The sequence below is a fragment of the Homo sapiens genome, chromosome 17 (assembly GCF_000001405.40).
Source record: "Homo sapiens chromosome 17, GRCh38.p14 Primary Assembly".
NCBI lineage: Eukaryota > Metazoa > Chordata > Mammalia > Primates > Hominidae > Homo > Homo sapiens.
In genome coordinates, this window is record NC_000017.11 from 79,643,104 (window position 1) to 79,663,316 (window position 20,213).

General features: G+C 47.5%; 1 protein-coding gene across 5 annotated transcripts in view; it reads right to left on the bottom strand.

The window, feature by feature from the left end:
* The window catches only part of RBFOX3 (RNA binding fox-1 homolog 3), a 576,227-nt gene that overhangs the window by 553,759 nt on the left and 2,255 nt on the right, over nucleotides 1-20,213 (bottom strand). For 2 of the 5 annotated variants that reach the window (NM_001385807.1, XM_024450592.2), the window contains exons 1-3: nucleotides 15,766-15,872; nucleotides 3,093-3,231; nucleotides 1,034-1,139 (exon numbers count right to left, since the gene is read on the bottom strand). The gene's annotated coding sequence lies outside the window, so the exon portion shown is untranslated. Of the gene's footprint in view, nucleotides 1-1,033; nucleotides 1,140-3,092; nucleotides 3,232-15,765; nucleotides 15,873-20,213 lie in introns of those variants that run through there. The other 3 variants (XM_024450593.2, NM_001385805.1, NM_001385838.1) reach the window with 3 other exon arrangements.

Here is a 20,213-nt window from a genome sequence, read left to right on the forward strand (position 1 = left end):
AAAAACAAAAGGCTTAAAAATGATACCATGCTAACAATAAGCATAAGAAGGCTAGATGGGTTACATTAATGAAAATAAATTAGACTTGAAGACAATGGATATTAACAGAAATAAAGAGTAACATCACGTAATATTAAAAGATTTAATTTTTAGGAAAATATATAATTCGCAAGCATAAAGGGCCTAAGAGAAGAACTTCACAATACATAAGGAAAAAGCCAAAAGAATTAAAGGGAGAAATCTATAATCATAGTTGGAAATTCTAACACCCCTCTCTTGACAACTGATAGAACAAGTCAAGAGAAAATCTGAATAACATCATTAACTACTTTGTCCTAATAGCCATTTATAGAACACTAAATTCAACAACTGCCAAATACTCATTCTTTTCAAGTTTACATGACATATTCACCAAGATAGATCATGTGCTGGGCCATTTTTTTAAAAGTCTTCATACATTTCAAAAGATTGAAACTTGCTGAATATGTTTTCTGACCACACGGAACTAAATTAAAAATTGATGACAATAAGATATATGGGAAAATCCCCCAAATATTTGGAAATTAAACAATACATTTCTAAATATTCTATAGGTCAAAGTAGAAATCACAAAGCACATTTTAAAATATTTCAAACTGAACAGTAATGAAGAAACAAATATCAAAATTTGTGAACTATAGCTAAAATAAAGCTTAGAGAAAATTTGTAGCTTTAATATGCTTATATTAAAAAAGACGTTCTCAAATTAATGAACTAAGCTTCTACCTTACAAAACTTTTTCTTAAAAAGTAATTAAAAGGAAATAATACAAATAATAGCAGAAATTGAGTAAATGGAAAACAGACAAAAAGAAAATTAACAGAGCTAAAAGATGGTTCTTTGAAAAGATCAATAAAAAAAGAGAAAACACAAGAGAGATCTCTAGAAATCCTACATATATTAAAAGGTTAATAATGGAATATTAAGAACAACTTTATGCCAATACATTCAACTATTTAAATGAGATGGACATATTTCTGAAAACACAACTTACCAAAATTGACACAAGATGAAATAGAACATTTGAGTAGAGATTGAATACATCATCAAAAACTTTCCCATGAAAAAATTTCAGGTCCAGGTGGTTTTACTGGTGAATTCTATCAAAACATTCAAAGAAGAAATAATTCTACTGGAACTTTTGCAGAAAATAAAGTAAAATCTTCCCAGTATGCTTTATGAGGCCAACATAACTATGATATCAAAAACTGATAAAGACATTACAAAGAAAAGCACAGACTGACATAACTCATGAATATAGAAACAAAAATTCTCTACAAAATACTAGCAAAATAAAATTAGCAGTAACATTGTTGAATTTTATCTCAGCAATGCAAGGTCTTTTATATTAAGAAATCCTAAAGAATCTATAACATAACTAGAACTAAGCAGTGTATTTATCAAGATCATAATATACGTAATCAATACTTAAAGATCAATTGTATTTTTATGTTTAGAGATAAAAATAATAAATAACATTTTTTAAATCCACTTGCAATGATGCCACAAATAATAAATTTTAAAATAGGTTTAATAACATGTGAACGAAGTGTACGTTGGAAATTAAATATCTCAGGAAGAAATTAAAAGCATCTCTGGGCGAAAGTAAAGAAGACCTAAACAAATGAAGACATATATCATGATTATGTAAGCAGAGAATTCCATATTGCTATGACGTCATTTTCTTCCACTCAATATAGAAATTCAATGCAACTGTAATCAGAATCCCAACAGGCTTCTTTGTAGAAATTGACAAGCTGGTTCTAAAATTTTTATGGAAATGTGGAAGGCTCAGAAAATGGCAACTTTATTCTTCCAATTGTTCAGAAAAACAAAACACCTGTAGTTATCCTCACCTCCTCTCTTCCTTTCAGGCTTCGTGTGTAATCTAGCAGTAAACTTGTGCTGACTCTGCCTTCACAATATACTCAGAGTCTAATCACTTCTCACCAATTCTGCCACCACTGCTCAGACTCAAGCTGCCCTTACCGCTCACCTGGGCCATCGTGAAGCCCCCGAACGGTCTCCCCACATCCACACCCCGCCTTTCGCTTATTCTTCTTTCGCTCATTCTTAGGTCAGTTCATGTCCCTCCTCTGCTCAGAACCCCAAAACCTTGCGTGCAATGTCCAGCAAGTGCACCTGTGTGGTGTGCCCCACCCCTCAGTCCCACCCTCCTCCTCCTGACTAGCCACCCGCCAGAAACACCGCCTCTTTATGCGCCACCAAATGCCAAGCACACTTTGGCCACGGAGACCTTGCAGTTCTGGTGGCCCCTACCTGGAATAATCCTCCTCAGATATCCTCATGCCTCTTCCCCACCCTTCAAGATGATGCTGAATGTCACCTTCTAAGCGAGGCTTGCCTGAGGACCCTCTTAAGACCTCATACCTTCCAGCTGCCCCTTCTCTCCATCCCCTGCTTCCAGCCCTACACTTGCCACTGGGTCTGCCAACTTCCCAGTCCAGCCCAGGGAGCCCAGGCCTGGCATCACCCAACTGCCCAGCCCATCCCTGGCATCATCCAGTTCACCGTCTTTCCCTTAAACACTTGCTGCCTGGACCGCAGCGGCCTCCTTCACTTAAGGCACAGGGCTGCCTGGCCAGGGCAGAAGGAGTGAAGCGGGGTTAGCCTGCAATGAGCCCTCACCTGACAGAAGAGGAGCCCTCACCTGGCAGGCAGATGGGGTAAAGTAGAGGGAACCTTGAGACACCCCCATGGAGGGGCCCAGAACCAACCTGTGAAGTTTGTCAGGACTCAAAAGGAATCTGCAATAATTCGACATCCTTGATTTAGATGGATGCTCCTGCACCTCCCGCAAAAACTGTTTCCTCTCTTTACATCCACCTCTCTCCCCACTCTCTCCCTTGCACTAAGATCCACATCTTCTCTTGGTCTCCTGGCCTCTCCCCCTCCACCCTTTCACAGTTAGTGGGCTTCGGGATCTTGTATCTCACCCCCAACCCCCAGCCACTCCCTTCCCCAGAAAGACACCGTGATCTGTCATGCATGTGCCCAAAATGTACAATTGATTTTTTTCTTAGGAAACTCACCTTCCATCCCTTGTCACACACACTGAGACCCAGGGTATTCTTGCAGAACAAGTTTGCAATGTCCCAGGTATTGTTCAGAAACAGATGGTACAATGGAAGGTGTTGTCAGAAAACGTGACATGAGAAGTTTAACCAAAAACTGAAAAAGAAAAATGAGTCCCATTGTATTAGTCTGTTCTCACACTGCTAATACAGACTGGGTAATTGATAAAGAAAAGAGGTTTAATGAACTTACAGTTCCACATAACTGGGGAGGCCTCACAGTCATGGCAGAAGGCAAAGGAGAAGCAAACGCATGTCTTATGTGGTAGCAGGCAAGAGAGTGTGTGCAGGGGAACTCACACTTATAAAACCATCAGCTGTTGTGAGACTTATTCACTACCATGAGAACAATATGGGGGAAACTGCCCCCATGATTTGATTATCTCCACCTGGCCCTGCCCTTGACATGTGGGGATTATTATAATTCAAGGTGAGATTTGGGTGGGGGCACAGCCAAACCATATCACCCATATCACAAAGACCAAACCTGACCTGCCCATTTGCTACCCCCAACCCCAATATCTCTCCTGTCTGGCTCTGCTCTGCCGCCAGCACCCTGACTGTCCCTCTGTCCTGCCAGCCACCCTCTGCCCCATGACCTTTGCAAGTGCTGATCCATCTGCCTGACCTGCTTTTCCCCAGATACCCACACAGTTCACTTGCTGGCCTCACTCAGGCCTTTGCACTGCCTGGCCTTAGCAGAGAGGATGGCCCAGTGTACAACTACAGCATCCCCAGCCCAGCAGTGGAGCCAGGGGACAGGGGACAGGCCAACCCCACCTCTCCTCCTTGATTTTATTTCCTCTGTGACATTTTCACTGCCGTGTGTGTGTGTGTGTGTGTGTGTGATCTCCTTGCACTAGAATGAGTGAGAGGACTTCATCTGCTCATGGCTGAGCTGTAGCCCTGATGCCTAGAGCCGTGCCCAGCCATGCCCAGCAACAGGGCACCTTTCATAAACAACCATGAACTGAGCAGCCGCTGTCAGCATCACTCCACCGGTGTCGCCTGCAGAAAGCCTGACACATCCATGGGAATGGCTCCCAGGAACAACACATTCCCCTGAAAATGGGTGAGTTCCTCTCTCCCATAGCCTCCAGTTGCCCCTTTGACCCTCCTCTGCCTCAACGCAGTGCGAGGTCTCTGCACAGGAAAGCAGCAATGAGACCCACAGCACAGCAGCTGCCACTCATGTCAGCAATGCCTCCAGCTAATTCATGCAACTGCCGGGGAGGATGCCTTAATACCTCTGCACAAGACAGAGTAATTACGTCTAAACATAGCTGCTTCCACACTGTCTCCATTTCCCGGCACTGGGAAATCTCTGGCCCAGAGTCAGCTCTCTGCCATCTCCCCCAGCCCCGGGAGCCTGGGGCCATCCCACATCTGTGGGAGCACCAGAGAAGCACATGCCACACAGAGCACCCCAGCCCACAGGCCCTGCTGCCCCTAACTGCACAAGGTCATGGCACAGCGCATGACCAGGGCCTTGTGGCTCAGGGCTTCGATCCACCTGACCCCTGCCTCCTCCCCAACCTTCCACCCCACTCTCCAATGGCCCGGGTCACCCTGCCCCACCCCCAACTCACACCTGTCTCCCACCTCCAGGGCCAGTGCTGTGGTGGACACAGAGCCCACCTGGGGGTGGAGTGGTAGAGACAGAGCCCACCTGGGGGTGCAGTGGTGGACACAGAGCCCACCTGGGGGTGCAGTGGTGGACACAGAGCCCACCTGGGGGTGCAGTGGTGGACACAGAGCCCACCTGGGGGTGCAGTAGGAGACACAGAGCCTCCTGGGGGTCCAGCAGGGGACACGGAGCCCATCTCAGGGTGCAGTGGTGGATGCAGAGCTGGTCTGGGGGTGCAGTAGTGGGCACTGCTAGTCCCTCCGAAGCAACAGTTCTCAGAGTTGGGAGCATCAGGCATGGTCAGACAGTGTGAGACGAACTGGATGGGCCTATGAATGTGGTCAGGGACACTCAAGATGAGCTCTGCTCATGGCCAGCATGGGACTGGCAAGAGTACCTGCAGGACAGGGAGCGGTGCAGATGACGTGGGTAATGGAGACCTAGAGCTTAGCTTAGGCTGCACAGTCAGGACCTAACTCACGGGCACGTCCTCCCCAGAGGCAGGTCACCCAAGAACTGGGCCGCTGAGGTATGAAACAGATGCCTGGGTTTGCATCCTGCTCTCCAGTTACCAAGCTCTCCAGACCCCTGCAATAGCATTGTGGGGACAGGCGTGGCCCCATTGCAGAGGCTGGTAAGGAGGCTGTGCCTGAAGCATGTCCAGCAAGCCCTGCAAACAGCAAGTACTCCACGATGTTAGCTGTGGCTGTGACTCTGTCATCCCTCCACAGGACCTGGCCACCTCTGCCTCGTTGGGGCCGATGGGGGCATGGCAGTACTTCCTGGTATTAGGGTCCAAGGACACCCCTCAGAGCCATGGCCAGGTATGGAAGCGGTTACATAACTCCGGCAGGGGCTGGGGCTGCTCTCCAAATGTCCCCACGCCATCAAGGTTTCCCAGCCTCCCTTGCAGGATGCTGGATCCCTGTGGCCAGTGGGTTGCGGGCAGAAATGATACAAGCCGTTTCACACCTGGCCCTTAAAACCCTCTTGCTCCAGCCTCTCCCACCCACACCTATGCCCCACCACAGCCACCTGTGGTGTTACATTCCAGATGCCATGGCCACAGGATAAGGAAGACAGCTCAATCAGCTTAGCATGAGTGAAAAATGTCTTTTTTTTTTTTTTTTTTGAAACATAGTCTCACTCTGTAACCCAGGCTGGAGTGCAGAGCTACAATTGCAGCTCACTGCAGCCTCCACTTTATGGGTTCAAGTGATCCTCCTGCCTCAGCCTCCCAAGTAGCTGGGACTACAGGCACACACCACCATGCCTGGCTAATTATTTTTATTTTTTGGTGGAGATGGGGTCTTGATGATTGCCCAGGCTGGTCTCAAACTCTTAGCCTCAAGTGATCCTCCCACCTTGGCTTCCCAAAGTGCTGGGATTACAGGTGTGAGCCACCATGACCAGCTGAGAAATAAACATCTACTGGGACAAGCCAGTGAGATGCCTGGGCTTGTTTGTTAGCACAGAAGAACCTGGTTTATCCTGACTCACCCAACAACTTTGAATGCACCTACATTAGTCTGTTCTTGCACTGCTATAAAGAAATACTTGGCCAGGTGTAGTGGTTCACACCCATAATTCCAGAACTTTGGGAGGCCGAGGCGAGTGGATCACCTGAGGTCAGGAGTTCAAGACCAGCCTGGCCAATGTGGTGAAACCCCGTCTCTACGAAAAATACAAAAACTAGCCAGGCATGATGGCGGAGGCCTGTAATCCCAGCTACTGGGGAGGCTGACGCAGGAGAATCACTTGAACCTGGGAGGCGGAGGTTGCAGTGGGCGGAGATAGCGCCATTGCACTTCAGCCGACAGAGCAACACTCCACCTCAAAAAAGAAAAAAAGAAATACTTGAAACTGGGTAATTTTTTAAGAGGTTTAATTGGCTCAAGGTTCTGCAGGCTGTACAGGAAGCATGATGCTGGCATCTGCTTGGCTTCTGGGGAGGCCTCAGGAAACTTACAGTCATGGAGGCAGGCGAAGGGGAAGCAAGGTATCTTCCATGGTGGAGCAGGAACAAGCAGGGAGGGAGGCGCTACCCACTTTAAACAATCAGATCTCACAGTAACTCACTCACTATCAGGAAGACAGTACCAAAGGGTGGGTGCTAACCCATTCATGAGAAACCGGCCCCCTGATCCAATCACGTCCCACCAGGCCCCACCTCCAACATTGGGGATTACATTTCAACATGAGATTTGAGCAGAGACACAGATCCAAACCATATCAGTGCCTGTGCAAGGACCTCTCATCATAAAAACAATGTTTCTAGGGAAAGCTTTGCTGGAAGTTCCCAACAACTGATGGTGAATTATCCCCAACTAAACTGGGGGGATTCGATTTTTCCACTCCTTTCTCTCTCTAATCACCCAAAACAGATAAGAAGCAGAAACAGAATGAATTAGAGAGTAATGCTGGATGCCCGGGCCGAGGGAGAAGGGCAGAGCTAGGGACCTGTGGGGTGGGCCAGGGACGGGGCTGCTGATGGCAAGCAAGTTGATTTGCCCTAAGGAACCTCCAAAACTCAGGGAAAGCAGAGGCCCTGGGTACTTTAAAGGCCCAGGGGAGGCCAAGGCACTGGGGGTTCTCATAAGGATTCTGCACCCTGCCAGCCTCATTGCAGCCACGCCGCTCTCCCACCCACTGAGGCGCATTTCCACTAGGACGTGAACCAGAGAGACCTGGGGCTCAGGGATGCCAGGCTCACAGAGCAGGGGACAAGCACAGTACTGAAGGACTATTAAACAGAAGTCTCCGGCCCCTCCACTGCCCACCCCAGAACCCAGGACCCACCCCAGGCAGATCAGAGGATGCACTTCTGGAGAGACTAAAGCTCCCCAGAGAACAGACCTATAAATACACCGACACTTAGGAGTCACAGTAGAAAGGCAGCTGTCCACCCATGGCCCCCGAGGGAAGACTGCCATCGACGTCAGCGCCCACCAGTCCCCGGCATCTCCAAGCGCCCTGCAGGCTCCAGGGTGGCACCAGCATCTCCATGCCTGAAGCTTCTCCTAAAACCTCAGAAGATGGCTCTGCCTCTCGTGGGGGTGACAGGGTCCTGGCCTTTACCCTCGGCCTCTCCAAGAGCCCTGCACCCGGGACTCGCCTGAGGTGGGGCATAAACACCCCAGCTCCGCCAGCGCCATCCAGGCAGGGGATTCCAGGTGTGTGTTCTGCACTGTTCCTCAGAGGTCCCTGCAGGGTTGAGTTCCAAACACACGCACTGCAGGATTGAGTCACCAAGTCGCCGGTTTGGTGATGCACCCCTTCTTGGCGGCCTTCCCTTCCAGGGTCCACGTGCCCACTTCCCCTACCAGGGCTTCCTCCACCTCCCCAGTAAACTGCTTTCCCCCAAGCCTTGGCTCAGGGTTGGCTTCTGGAGGAACCTAGATAGAGAGGGTCTGTGAGCTCCTGGCCATCAGCTCGATGCTGCAGGTCTTAAACATAAGGGGAAAGACAGACAGCGCCAGAGAGTTGAGAAAAGTCTCCAGTGGACAACAGCAACCAAAACAACAGACAGGGGAAGATGCGGATCATGTTCTGTGGTGCCAGACTCCAAAATGGCTGCCTTCTGGTGGTGACACCCCCGGGCCGTCCCCTCCCACTGTTCCAGGTTGGTCTCTGTGACTGATGGAGTGTGGCATGCAATGTGACTGGTGATATGGCACTTCCGAGATTAAGCTACAGAAGATGCTGCAGCTTCCATCTTGGTTTGTCCTCTCCCTTTCTCCTTTTCTCTCTTGCCCCCTTTCCTCTCTCTCTCTCTCTCTCTCTGTCTCTCTCTCTCCTCCCCCGCCTCTCTCCCTCCCTCCTTCCCTCCCCCTCCCCCCTCCCTCCCTGTCTCTCTTTCCCTCCCTCTCTCCTTCTCTCTCTGCCTTTCTCTCTGTCTCCCCCTCCCTCTCCCTGTCCATCCTTCTCCCTCTCCTTCTCTGTCTTTCTCTCTGTCTTCTTCCTCTCTCTCTCTCTTCTCTCTCTTTCCCCCCCTCCACCACCCCCCATCACTGGCTTTGAGGGAAGCCACCTGCCATGTCAAGCAGCCATATGGAGAGGCTCACGTGCCGAGGAACTGCAGCTCCTGCCAGCAACCAAGTGGCTGAGCTTGGGAGCAGATCCTTCATCCCCAGTCATGCCCTAGATGCCCCCAGCCCTGGCAAACATATTGACTGCAAATTCACGACACACCCCAAGCCAGAACCACCCAGCTAAGCCCAACCAGATCCCCCGCCCATGGAAACTGTGAGATAAAAGCCATTTGCTGTTTTAAACCATTGTGTTTGGGGGTAATTTGTGACATAGTAATAGATAACTAGTACAAGTGTATGCTTTACAAAGAGAAGAAAACTTCAAAGAATCCATTAATATTGTCACAGAGATGAGAAAAGATACTACATCCATGAAACAAGAAGAAATAGAGAACAAGAATGTTTGCAAGTTAAATATAATAACATAAGCTGGGGTCAATAGAAGTGTTAGAAAATAAAATTGATGCTTGAGCCCAGGAGGTCAAGGCTGCAGTGAGTTATGATTGTACCAGTGCACTCCAGCTGGGGTGACAAAGCAAGATCCTGTCTGGAAAGAAAGAGAGAGAGAGAGAGAGAAAGAGAGTGTGGGATAGGTGCAGAAGAAAGGAAAGGAAAAGGAAAGGAGAGGGGAGGGGAGGGGGAAAAGAACGAGAGAAAGAGAGGAAGGAAAGGAAAGGAAAGGAGAGGAGAGGAGAGGAGAGGAGAGGAAAGGAAAGGAAAGGAAAGGGAAAAGGGAAAAAGAAAGATTGAGAACATTTCCCAGGAAGCAGGACAAAAAGGCAAAGAAATGTACAGTCGGTTTTTGTTTGTTTTAACTGAAGAGTTAGGTAATGAAGCCAGGAGTTCCAGCATTTGATAAACAGAAGTTCCAGAGAGAACAGAGAAAATTAAGGGAATAAAATTATCAAAGAAATAATACCATAAATGTCCCCAGAACTGAAAGGCATTAAGTCTTCAGGTTTAAGACCATTCCAAGTGTCCAAACAATGAAAACTATAGGCACACCTTTATGACATTTCAGAACACCAAGGATAAAAGCTTCCAGAGAGAAGAAAATGGGGCCATATAATAGGATCAAAAGCTGAATGTCATCACCATTTTCTACAGCAGCATGGAAATCAGAATTTAGTGGGAAAAAAAATGCCTTCGAAATTCTAGGTAAAAATAATTTCAAACCCAGGATTCTGTACTCAACCAGACTCGTTAACTGAACATGAGAACAGAATAAAGAGGCTTAGGATATTATAAGAGAATGTGCTCCACTAAGGCCAAGCAGTAAACAAAAAGATAAAGCTGCTAGATCCAGGAACATGCACGTCGGCACAGGGTTGAGCAAAGAAAAGTCCTGGATGAGAGCCCTGCAGCTGCCTTAACAGTAACCTGTGAGTGCCAGGGCACAGGTCTGAGGGCCCCAGGACAACTTCCCCAGGCAGAAAAGAGGGCTAAGATGTGTTGACTACGTGGAAGGTTGTATGAAAAGGCATGTTGGAAGGTGTACAAAACCCTAAGCCATTATTAACTCCAGGATAAACAGAAAGTTGTACAACAAAAAAGAAAAATGTTACAGTTATCATTGTTATAGTAAGAAAAACCTTAATGTAGATTTAACGAAGATTGAGGTTTCATTGTTTAGGTGTAAGTGAGATAAAAACCCGATCTACCATAAAAGAAAGCTTAAAGATGAAGTGTAAAAATAATGAATCGATAGCTTCGAGTGTATAAGCAATGTTCAGAAATGCAGAGGTTAATTCCGGAAGAAACAGCTAGCAGTAGAAGAATAGGCAGAAGTAGGAAGGGGGAAAGAGAATGCTGGTGTTTATTATAAATTTGGAGCATAATTTCAATTTTAAAACTATTTGCATGTCGTGGTTTTTTTTTTAAAGTTAGCTGGATTTCCAGCACTTTGGGAGGCTGAGGTGGAAGTCTTGCTTGAGACCAGGAGTTTGAGGCCAGCCTAGGCAACATAGCAGGACCCTGTCTCTACCACCAAAAAAAAAAAAAAAAAAAGTTAATTCAGCTTTTTAAAAACTCATAAAAATAAAATGTTAGGGCACCTGTACTGGAAAGTCTCACCAATTCATACAAGTTGTTTGGTTTGTCACCTGAACAGTATGATTTTGAAAGAAATACTGCTCTTTTTTTTTTCATCTCCACAAAGTAGGTTATCTAAAGCAAGCAGTTTTGCTAAAAGGATAAACAAGGGCATGAAAGAAAGAGGGAATTGTGGACGTATACAGCTTGCAAAGGCCTTCCAGTTTTCTGGTCCAAGCCACTCATTCATTGCACAGACTGGTAAATCGAGCACCGGAGAGGCTGTGTTTACCCCAAGATGGGTGGGTAACAACCAGCACAGCCAGTCTCTGACCAGCTTTCGGACTCTCCAGCCCCTGAGCCCCTCTAGACTACCCTCCAAAGAATTTTTTCACAGTGGGAAGACTCTTCTAGGGCAGGTGGCCTGGCACTGAGGTCAGGGAGCAGGGAAAGGGAAGACACTGGAAAATGAGTTCCAGACACACCTAAGCAAATGAAAGAAGCATTAGAAAAGGTTACCTTGGCTGGGGCATGTCTAAAAGACTCAGCCCATGTTCCTGATCCTTTTCTGAAGACATTGAAAACTCTACAGATCAAAAAGTCTACGGCCCAGCTGGAGAATTCAAATAGACATGGGCACCAACCGCCCCCAGGTACAAGCCCCTCGGTGTAAGGGAAGGAGTCCCTATTAAGGAGCTCTAACTTTAACAAAATGACCTGATTTCCAAACAAAAAGAACTGGACTTACCCAGGTAGCAGAATTTTGTCCTTCAGAATCGTTTTAGCACCTTGCAGGGGAGGGCCCCTTTTTTAAAATGCTATCTCATTTGGAACATCTGGGAATTCCACTTTGAGAGGTGGCCTTCAGAGCCAACGTAAAATCCACAAGGAGAAAATGGGTCTCATCGCTTTATGGGCCTCTCCCTCTCTCTGAAGCAACATTATGCAAATGCCTCCTGGCTGCTTCCACAAAGCGAGCCTACCGTCTAAGGACTAAGATCTGACTCCGCGGAAGGACAGGAAAAACAGAATAAACTGTACAGTCTGAATGGGATTCTAGAGGAGAGTTCCAAAGCGACTGGACCATGCCATTAGCACGAGTCTGAGGCTTAGCTTCCCGACGAGGCTGTTGGAAGGGAAAGCACCCAAGTAGATGAACACACCGGGCCGTGAGTTAAATGTCGGGTGGAAGCTCAGGTCAGTCCACTCTGCTGAGTGCTATTCTGTGTCCTGCACTGGTCCCTGGGGCCACAGGAAAAGCCCTGCACCCGGACCAGCACGAAGAGGGCACAGGTCTGACCTAAGTCCGCAGGGGGAAAAAGCGGGAGACAGGGAAGTCACTGACGGTGGCCAGGCCCTAGGTTCATGTCTCAGTTCCTGGACTCCCTGACCAGGTGACCTTGAGGCTGTGTGCCCAGGGAAATAACCACGTTCCCACCCCCCAGAGCCATCTATAGGACTCAATGAAGTAATGCATAAAAATTGCAGTAACTGTCAAATAGAAAGTCCTCAACCAATGTAAGCTGTGACTATGTGTCCAAACCCTTTATCCTAAATTCAAAAATTCCAAAAGCTCTGAAAGCCTAAAGTTTTACCTTCTAATTTTGGCAGTAAAACTCATTTGGCAGCAAAACTTGACCTGAGCCGGCAGGAGGCCATTGGTGGCCTTTACTGACCCTGACAGGGACTGGCTGTGCCTTTTGCTTCCAAAACACCCATGTGTGAGAATGAAGTACAGCTCCAGACTCACTGAGACTCTTATGAGGTAGAAAGCAGGTATGGCCCATGATCTCTCTATAAGAAGGTTCTGGAACAGTCAGTGTGGTCAAGGGATGTCCAAATCTGACCTCAAAATCATCCCTCAGTATGGGGTGTCCACCAATACTCCTGACTTAGCCAATGCCTCCTCACCCCAGCCCCACACCAGTCACACTCATGGGAGACATTCTCGACCTTCCCACTGCCCGACCCGCCTGACCCATCCAGCCCCTAGTCCTGCTTACCTCAGCCCCTAAACCTCTGGATGCCATTCTCTACCTTCTTGCAGGCCTTCCAGAATGGCCCCAGAGCCTTCTGCAGGGACCCCGAGGGAAGCTTTAGGCTGGGCTCCCCGTCCCTGCCTCACTGCCTCCCCCGCACTCTTGCTTCTGAGATCACTCTCAAGCAAACCACCAGAACCCACGTCCTTGTCACAGCTCTGCTCTGTGAACAGCCCAAAGGAAGGCAGCTTTTCAACCCAGGGGCCGGCCAACTTGCTGTCAAGGGTCAGGAGGTGAATCTGTTCTGCATTTCTGGTCACATTGTCTCTCCTGCAACTCCTCCACTCTACCCTTGTCTCCAAAGCAGCCATTGACAATGCACACATTAATGGGCGAGGCTGTGTGCCAATGAAACTTTATGGACAAGGCCGGGCACGGTGGCTCACACCTGTAATCCCAGCACTTTGGGAGGCAGAAGTGGGCGCATAACTTGAGGTCAGGCATTCAAGACTAGCCTGGCCAACATGGTGAAACCCCATCTCTACTAAAAATACAAAAATTAGCCGGACATGGTGGCGTGTGCCTGTAATCGCAGCTATTCGGGAGGCTGAGACAGGAGAATCGGTTGAACGTGGGAGGCGGAGGTTGCAGTGAGCCAAGATCACACCACTGCACTTCAGCCTGGGTGACAGAGTGAGCCAAGAAAGGAAAGAAAGGAAGAGAAGAAAGAAAGGAAGAGAAGAAAGAAAGGAAGAGAAGAAAGGAAAGAAGGAAGGAGGGAAGGAAGGAAGGAAGGAAGGAAGGAGAGAGAGAGAGACAGAAAGAAAGAAAAGAAAGAAAGAAAGAAGGAAGGAAGGAAGGAAGGAAGGAAGGAAAGAAAGAAAGAAAGAAAGAAAGAAAGAAAAGAAAGAGAAAGAAAGAAAGAAAAGAAAGAAAGAAAAGAAAAGAAGGGAAGGAGGGAGGGAGGGAAGGAAGGAAGGAAGGAAGGAGGGAAGGAAGGAAGGAAGGAAGGAAAAGAAAAGAGAAATTTATAGACAAAAACAGGCAGTAGGCCGGATTTTGCTGTGGGTGGTAGTTTGCTGACCTCTGTTCCTGTTGCATCCACTCCCTCTGCCCTGTTCCAACAGGGTCTCCACACAGCAGGTAGGAGGGCCTTTTCAGAAGGCAGATCTGACCATGTCACCTTCCACCCTAAGCCCTTCAATGGCTCCCCCACTGCACCCTGGAAGAGGAGAAGAATGAGGAGGAAGGGGAGGAAGGAGAGAAGGGAGAGGATGGGGAGGAAGCAGCCACACGGCAAATGGAAGCCTTCTCCTCTGAGCTGATCCTCAGTGGCCTGTCCTACCAGCTAAGGGGGAGATTGCAGCAGGTCTTTAAGCATCCAAGTCCCCCACCCCACCCCCACACACTCCCAGCATGTTATCAACATCCCAGCCACACACATCAACTCTGAGGCTGGATTCTAGAAGTGAGCATAAAGAACAGAGCTGGAGCTGTGCACAGTGGCTCACGCCTGTAATCCTAGCACTTTGGGAGGCCAAGGCAGGTGGATCACCTGAGGTCGGGAGTTCAAGGCCAGCCTGGCCAACATGGTGAAACCCTGTCTCTACTAAAAATACAACAATTAGCCAAGCATGGTGGCAGGCAACTGTAGTCCCAGCTACTCAGGAGGCTGAGGCAGGAGAATCGCTTGAATCTGGGAGGCAGAGGTTGCAGTGAGCCAAGATCGTGCCGTTGCTCTCCAGCCTGGGTAACAGAGCAAGACTCTGTCTCAAAAATGAAGAACAGAGCTGGACACCTGGAGCACCCAACAGGCTTCTGCTGTGAAATGCAGTGGGTCACCACAAAAAATCAGCCTTAAACTACAGGAAAGAATGCAGAGGTTACAATGCAGGTCCCAGGCATCTGCCAAGCAATGAACACGGATGTTTCCCTCCGTTTTTAAAGAAGGCTTAAGCTCTCTCAGGCAAATGCATCAGAGTAACACCAAGGAGAAGGCCCAGTATGGCCCTGGGCCCTCCTGGAGACACAGAGGGCATCTTCAGGACAGAGTCCCTCAAGACGAAACGACCCCAGGCTCACTTTAGTGGAGAGAGAGACACTGGCTGAGAACAGTCTGTTCTTCTGTAAGAATGACAAATGAGGCCCTTGAGTTTCAGTGGCCCCAACACAAGCAGCACAGGACTTACTTTACTCGTGGTTTTTTTAAGTCCAGGAGAATTTGCTACTATAAAAGGGAAGGACTTGCAGTGCCCATAAAAGAAAGAAAACAGAGGATGACTTAGAAGGAAGCATGGAGTCACTCTGTTCCCCATTTCCTAATTTAACCAAGTGAAATGGTCCCCTCCTCCATTTCTCCCTCCCTCCCTGTCTCCTCCTCCTCCACCCTTCCCTCTCTCCCTCTCTCCCCCATCTCTCTCTCCCTCCCTGTCTCCTCCCCCTCCACCCCTCCCTCTCTCCCTCCCTGTCTCTTCCTCCTCCACCCCTCCCTCTCTCCCTCTCTCCCGCCATCTCTCTCCCTCTCTCCCTCCCTGTCTCCTCCTCCTCCACCCCTCCCTCTCTCCCTCTCTCTTTCTCTCTCTTCCTGCATGTGCACTCCATCACACCTGCACCCATGGATAATTCTACCCATCACCGTGGCCAGTATCCTGCCTGCCTGGAATAGGCACTGATTACTAATGGAGAAACTGCAGCTCAGAACAGTGAAGCTGTCGCTTGTGCAGAGCTAAGATGCAAATGGTCCCTCTCCATTCCACTGCCTCCTCCCCTGAGGCCAGTATCTCTGCCTCCATCATCCCTTTGGCACAGCACCGAGTGCTGCACTGTCATCGCCTCAGGAGAATTTTGCTGAGCCCCTACTGTGTGCCAGGCACGTGCTCATTCATCGGCCCTGAAAACACAGAAACAAGAGCTTATATTCTAGACAAAGACACAGACAGGAAGCCTACAGGCAAGTCACTTACTCAACAAGATAACCTCCATTTGCAATGAGCGCTTCCTGCACTGGGATAGTGTAGGTTCTGCTGCAGTAGAAAACACACTCACATCTCATAGGTTTGCGGAAAGGTTTGTTTCTTGTTTATATCACAGTCGAGTGTGGTCCGGGCAGCTCTTCTTGGCAATGCTCCTCCTAGTGGTCACACCAAGACCCAGGCTCCTCACATCCCTGAGCCCTTCCTACTGACGTGAGTGGCCGCCTTGGTCACCGCACAGGAACAGGGAGTGTGGACCACGCGGGGGCCCGTGACAACATCTGGAAGTGGAAGGCATTGCTTCCGTCTACAACCCCCTAACCCTGACCTCACTGCAAGGGAGACTGGAAAATAGAGTCCTCCTTTAAATCTTCCCGGAAAAAGAAATAGAATTTGGTGAACACAGGCATTGTCTCTAGAATAATAAATGAAATAAACAGGATGATGTACCAGAGGGTATCTGGGTCAAGCGGCCTGTTGTGGATAGATAGGGCAGGGAAGGTTGCTTTAAGGGGGTGACTTGGATCCAGCTAGGAAAGAGCACTCAGAGCCCAAAGAACAGCAGGTGCAAAAGACTGGGGCGGGAAAGCACCTGGCAAGTTCAAGGAACAGAAAGGTCAAGGAGATAGGCAGGTGGGGAGCGAGAGTGGGAAGAAGGGAGGGCTGTGCATAGGCCAGGGCAGGTGGTGACCCTGACATACATCAGAGCCACACCCCAGACACCACGAAACCTCCCATGCTGGACCCTCCCCACTCCCCAGAGACTGATCCAGTGATTCTGGCCTGGGATCAGACTTTATATTTGTTACTGCTTTGTTTAAGAAAATAATACATATGCTCAAAAGTACACAAATAATTAGTATAGGCTCAATGAATAGTCAGAGTGGACAATCCAGGCAACCACCACTGAGATGGAGAAATAGAATACACAGATCCCTGGAGGGCCCCTCTTCCCTCCCCTTCCCCCCAGCCTCCCACCTTTCTCCTCCCTAAAGGGAACCACTATCAAGATTTCCATCAAAATCTATGCTGAGTACAGTGGCTCAAGCCTATAATCCCAGCACTTTGGGAGGCTGAGGCGGGCAGATCATGTGAGGTCAGGAGCTCAAGACCAGCCTGGCCAACATGGTGAAACCCCATCTCTACTAAAAATATAAAAATGAACAGGGCATGGTGGCGGGCGCCTGTAATCCCAGCTACTCAGGAGGCTGAGGCTGGAGAATCACTTGACCCTGGAAGGCAGAGGTTGCAGTAAGCCAAGATAACACCACTGCGTTCCAGCCTGGGAGACAGAATGAGATTTCATCTAAAATAAAAAAAATCAAAAATCAAAAATCTAGGCAATACCATTCAGGACATAGGCAGGGGCAAAGATTTCATGACAAAAACACCGAAAGCAATCGCAACACAAGCAAAAATTGACAAATGGGATCTAATTAAAGAGCTCTGCACAGCAAAAGAAACTATCATCAGAGTGAACACACAACCTACAGAATGGGAGAAAAATTTGCTATCTATCCATCTGACAAAGGTCTGATAGCCAGAGTCTATAAGGAACTTAAACACATTTACAAGAAAAAATCAACCCCATTAAAAAGTAGGCAAGAGATATGAACAGACACATCTCAAAAGAAAACATACATGTGGTCAAGAAGCATATGAAAAAAAGCTCAACATCACTGAACATTAGAGACATGCAAATCAAAACCACAACAAGACTTCTTCTCACACCAGTCAGAATGGCAATTATTAAAGTCAAGAAACAACAGATGCTGGCGAGGTTATGGAGGAAAAGGAATGTTTTTACCCTGTTGGTGAGAGTGTAAATAAGAAGATGACGTGGTGATTCCTCAAAGATCTAGAGGCAGAAATACCAGTTGACCCAGCAATCCCATTACTGAGTATATACCCAAAGGAATATAAATCGTTCTATTATAAAGATACATGCACGTGTATGCCCACTGCAGTACTATTCACAATTGCAAAGACATGGTATCAACCCAAATGCCCATCAATCACAGATTGGATAAAGAAAACATGATACATATATACCATGGAATATTATGCAGCCAAAAAAAGGAATGAGAACATGTCCTTTGCTGGGATGTGGATGGAGCTGGAAGCCATTATCCTTAGTAAACTAACACAGGAACAGAAAACCAAACACAACATGTTCTTATAAGTAGGAGCTGAATGATGAGAACACATGGACACAGGGTTGGGGGAATAACACACACTGAGGCCTGTTGGGCAGGGGGAGGGAGAGCATCAGGAAGAATAGCTAATGGATTCTGGGCTTAATACTTAGGTGATGGGACGAGCTGTGCAGCAAACTACCACAGCACACATCTACCTATGTAACAAACCTACACATCCTGCACATGTACCCATGAACTTAAAATAAAAGTTGAAGATTTTTTTTAAAAAAGGTTAAAAAAAAAAGATTTCCATCTTGCCCATTTCTGAACTTCACATGAGTGGAATGCCTGGATTCTTTGATTCTACATTATTTGGTGAGGTTCATAGAGTATAGATGTGCTGTTTAGTGTTTAGTGTTCATAGAGTGTAGTTCTGTTTAGAATCATAATTGTGTGATTTCACAATTTATTTGGCCACACTACTGTGTTGCTTGGCCTGGGTTACTTCAAGCTTGAAGTTGTGAAAAACAGTGCTGCTGTGGTCACACTCATGCACACATTTCAGTGCATCTGGGCTTGCATTTCTGGCAGGTGATATCTAGGGATAGAGTAGCTGGGTTCTGGGGCAGGTGTATGTTCACCTTTAGTAGATTCTGCTAAACAGTCTTCCAAAGTGATTGTTCCCATTTACATTCCTACCAGCAATATAGGGATGCCCCAATCATTCTATATTTCTAGCAACCCTTAGGACTGGCAACCTATTCACTGTAGCCATTCCAGTGTCTAGATGGCAGTATCTGGTTCTACCTGATGACTAGTAAAGCACTTGGTGAAGTGCTTGTTCAAGTCTTTTTCCCATTTTTCTGTGAGCCCTTTTTTGGTGACATATGTTGCCAATATCTTCTTCCACTTGGTCCTTGCCTTTTTGCTCTCTTAATTGTACCCTTTGATTGTGCCCATTGCTCTTATTCTTAATATAATCTGATTTGTTAATATTTCCCCTTGTGGTTAATATTCTTTGAATCATGAAGATATTCTACATCTTCTGTGTTATCTTCTAGAAGACAGATTTTTTTTTGATACAGTGTGAGGTAGGGATCAAGCTTCCTGTTTATTCTTTTTTTTTTTGAGTCGGAGTCTCACTCACTCCAGGCTGGAGTGCGGTGGTGCAATCTCTGCTCACTGCAAGCTCTGCCTCCTGGGTTCACACCATTCTCCTGCCTCAGCCTCCTGAGTAGCTGGGACTACAGGCGCCCACCACCACACCTGGCTAATTTTTTGTATTTCTAGTAGAGACAGGGTTTCACCATGTTAGCCAGGATGGTCTCAATCTCCTGACCTTGTGATCCGCCCACCTCAGCCTCCCAAAGTGCTGGGATTACAGGTGTGAGCCACCGCGCCCGGCTGCTTCCTGTTTATTCTAAGGTGGCTATTTGATGGATCCAGCACCACAGGTTGCTGGACCCATAGGTTGCAAAGATCTGCCATGCCCTCCTTAACGGGACCGCCTTTGTCATGTGCCAGTCATATACACCCTCTTGTGCTGGTTCCATGCCTGGGCTCTCTGCTGTCTTCATTAGTCTATTTGTCTGTCCTTGTATTAGAATCTTTTTACTGTCTGTTGGTGATTCTAACACGCAGTCGGGGTTAAGAACCATCAATCCAGAACCTTGAAGTTCATGGTAACAAGTCTGGGTGTTAGTCTAAATGCAATTATGTAGAAACCCAATAAAAAGTTTGTAGAGGAAAAATAGATTAACTTTGTGGCATGGGAAGAGAAACGGCAGAACCGTGGGGAAGGCATCTGTGGAGTGGCTGAGGAAACCAGGTAACAGGCCTGAAGCTGAAATCTCAGAGCAATCCAGCCGGCTGTTCACTGTCTCTCTTCTCCCCGCTCCAGACCTCCAGACCCTCCCACACCAAAGTACAAACAAGGAATGACAAACACAGGAAGGAAACGTCGCTGTTTAAGTCATCAGCCAAATTTAAGGAAATCTGATCCCTCCTGCAACCACGTTTTATTCCCTGGTTACCCTGGCATTTCCTATAATTAATGGCTAGGTTTTAATTAAACATTGATTAGCCACTAATTAGTCTAATGATTAGTCTTGGGGAGGAGACATGGCTGTCAACACCGCAAAGGAGGAAGGGGAGATGGTGAAAGATTATGGCTTAGGTAGAAATGCTATTTCTACCTTCCTCCAAGCCAAATGTTTTCTATGATTTGGGTCCATTATAAATGATGCTTTCAATGTGAATTTTCCTAATCGGTTTGAGTCTGATGAAGTCCCAGGTGACTGA